This window comes from Homo sapiens, chromosome 7, assembly GCF_000001405.40.
Source record: "Homo sapiens chromosome 7, GRCh38.p14 Primary Assembly".
In the NCBI taxonomy this organism is placed as follows: Eukaryota; Metazoa; Chordata; class Mammalia; order Primates; family Hominidae; genus Homo; species Homo sapiens.
The window spans coordinates 32,913,285-32,916,814 of record NC_000007.14 but is presented as its reverse complement, the minus strand read 5'-3'; positions in this window follow the sequence as shown (position 1 = coordinate 32,916,814).

The following is a 3,530-nucleotide window of genomic DNA, read 5'->3' as shown; positions in this document are numbered from 1 at the left end:
TTCTACTTCACTTGCTTTCTACTGCCAGAGTCCCATGATTTTCACAGAGTGACTGACTCAGAAAAGGTTTAGGAATATAGGGGGATTTGTGTACTAGGTCAGGTATCCACATCCCAAAATCCATCCCTCCCTTTCTTCCTCTTCCTGTTGCCTGACCACAGCCCACCTGTGCTCTTGTAGCTGAAACTAGGCCACAGTAGAGGCATCTCAGGAGGCCAGGGTGTGTCTGCAGCTGGAGGAGAGGAAGTCTATCCTTTGCTGCGCCAAAGTGAAGCGGATCTTGCTCATAGGCAAGTGTGTCCCTCTGTGGCTAGCACTGGTCTCTTGCTGCTTTAGGCACTCAGTCAGGGTCCCAGAAACTCACTCCCATTTTCTGCCACTTTTCCTGGGGTTTGGATTCCCTCCTTTTTAAGGAACAGCCAAGCCAGGCCCAGACTGACCCTTCTTCAAGTCTCATCAGTCAATGCTCCTGTTCTTGGCCTCGGAATACCACCTCAGGAAAACAATCGGTTGAGATTGGAATGGCCAGGACTTAACTATTTCTGAAAACTGTAAGGCCAGTGGATTCAGCCTTGCCTTACACTTATCCTTGTCATGCAGAACACAGGCCATCTGTCCTCTGCCATATGCTCAGCATTTCTTACCCAGGTACAGCCGGTCCTCTTCTTCCAGGAATTGGCTACTGTCCCTCTGCAATCCCATTCATGATAAAAGCATTCTTATACAACACAAAAGATGCTGCATCAATGATTCTCAAACCTCCAAGACATCCAAATCAACTAGCATGCTTAAGATGCAGATTCCTGTGCTCGACTCACCAACTTCCAGAATTTTCCATTCCCTAGGTCTGAGGTGAACCTGGGAATCTGCCTTGCTAACAAATGATGCTGACACTGTTGATTTGGGGACCCCACTTGGAGAACCTGGGCTCTAGATCTCTACCCTCTTACTGAAGCCTTCTTCCACTTCCTGCTTTAACTGGAATCCAGCCGTCCACCCCTGTAGCCCTTGCAAAGTGAATCGTCCCTTTTCCCTCACTCTGTTTTTTTCTCCTCTGTTTCTAGCCTAGATTCCAAGGAACATCACTTTGGCCTGTCATCTCCCCTGATCTGTGATCCTTTTGTCCAGCTTTCCCCAAAGAAGCATCAATCAAAATCTTCCGCTTTGCTCCTATAGACAGACTACAGGGGAAAAATCCCAGAGCCCCTACAAATCCATCTCCAAACTCAAATGAGAACTGAGCTCAAAAAGCCCACTAGCAAACCAGAAGTGTGCTAGCCACCCACTTAAACTTTCTTTTTCAGACATCTCTTTCAGATATACATTTTCCATTACTATCCAGGGAGACAAAATAAGCCCTTAAACCTCCCTTCACTCAGACATCGTATGATGAATGTCAGACATCCTACTGATATGGTTTGGATGTTTGTCCGCTCCAAATCTCATGATGAAATGTAATCCCCAGTGTTGGAGATGAGGCCTGGTGGGAGGTGTCTGGATGATGGGGGCAGATCCCTCATGAATGGGTTAGTGCCATCCCCTTGGTGATGAGTCAGTTCACACCAGATCTGGTTGTTTAAGTGTGAGTGGCACCTCTCCCTCCCTCTTTTGCTCTGGCTGTTGCTGTCACCATGTGATATGCTGGCTCCTCATTGCCTTCCACCGTGACTGTAAACTTCTTGAGGCCTCACCGGAAAGATATTCCAGCACCACACTTCTCGTACTGTCTGCAGAACCTTGAGCCAGGCAGGTGTCTTTTCTTTATAAATTACCCAGGCTAAAATGGCATCATGATTTCTCCCACTAATCTTCAGACTGTTAATAGGATGCACTTTACTCCTGTGACTAGATTGTGTTACCAGTACAAGGAAAGGGAGACCACCTGGGTGTTCCTAACCAAATCATGAGAACCCTCTGGAACTCGATTTGTCCCTGGCTGTTAACCAAAGAGGAGGTCAGAGAGTCCAAGCCTGTGAAAGATTCCACGCATCATTACTGGTTTTAGAGTTGAAGGGGCCACATGGTGAGGGATGCAGCAAACTCTCATCAAAGGTTCCTGACTAACAGCCAGCAAGGAAATGGAGCTCTCAGTCCTACAGCTGAAAAGATCCGCATTCTGCCACCCTCAATGGTTCTGGATGCATATTCTTACCCAGAGCCTCCAGATGGAAGCCCACCTCTGCTGACATCTTCGGTTGGGGTTTGTGAGATGCAAGGTCGAGAACCCAGTTGAGCCTGCTCAGGCTTCTGACCTACACCACTGTGAGGTAATCAGTGGTGGTGGTTTTGAGCTTTTACATTTGTGAGAAAGTGTTAATGCAGCAACAAACTGATCCAGAGGTTTAATGAGCTTTCCCTCCTCCTCTCAGGCCAGTCCATCACCTATGCTCTGGATCCCACCAACAGCCAGCAGTAGGGGGCAGTGGCTGGAGCACTGGCCCTGCATCCAGACTGCCTGGCTTTGAATCCCAGCTTTGCTAGCTGTGGAGTTGCTCCACCTCTCTGTGCCTCCGTGTCCTTGACTAATCATGTCTACCAGACTTCTAGTGAGAATAAGGGGACTTGATATCCATAAAGCATTTAGAGCAGGGTGTGGCACATCTCAACTCTAAATGAATGTTACCTGCTCCTGCTGCTACTGCTGTCACCATCATCTAATCCTCAGGGAACTTCCTCCTCCTTTATCCCATGTCACTCACGTCTTCAAACTCTTCCTTTCTATTGTGATCTTGCCCCAGTATTTAAAAATTGTTTTGGCTCATGCCTGTAATCTCAACACTGGGAGGTCGAGGTAGGTGGATCACTTGAGGTCAAGAGTTTGAGACCAGCCTGGCCAACATGGTGAAACCCCATGTCTATCAAAAATACAAAAATTAGCTGGGCATGGTGATACACACCTGTAATCCCAGCTACTCGGGAGGCTGAGGCAGGAGAATCACTTGAACCTGGGAGGCGGAGGTTGCAGTGAGCAGAAATTATGCCACTGCACTCCAGCCTGGGCAACAGAGTGAGACCCTGCTCCCCAAACCCCACCAAAAAAAAAAAACAAAAAACAATTGTTTTAAAACTGTAAAATACATGCCCGTAAAGAGTTCACAATTCTGAGCCATTGGAGAACAAAAAGTGAAAAGGGAGTCTACTTATGATGCTTTGATACAGTGCTCCAGATCCTGATCAAAATGCATTAGCAAACACACACATGTAAATGCACGGTTTTTGGTTAGCTTTACATAACTGATAGACACTAGTAATACTGTTCTGTGACTTCATTTCACTCACCGTATGTTGGCAATTTTACTGCTCACTACAAGCTTCAAATGGCTACAAAATTCCTTGGTTTGAATGTGCCATGATTTGTTTAACCATTAATCTATTTATCAGAATGCAATTCTTTCCCATTTCTCATTCCTACAAAGAAGACTGAAAATAAAAATTTTTGAGTAAATATCTTTGGGGTTTTTTTTTTTTTTTTTTTTTTTTTGAGACAGAGTCTCGCTGTGTCACTCAGGCTGGAGGGCAGTGGCACGATC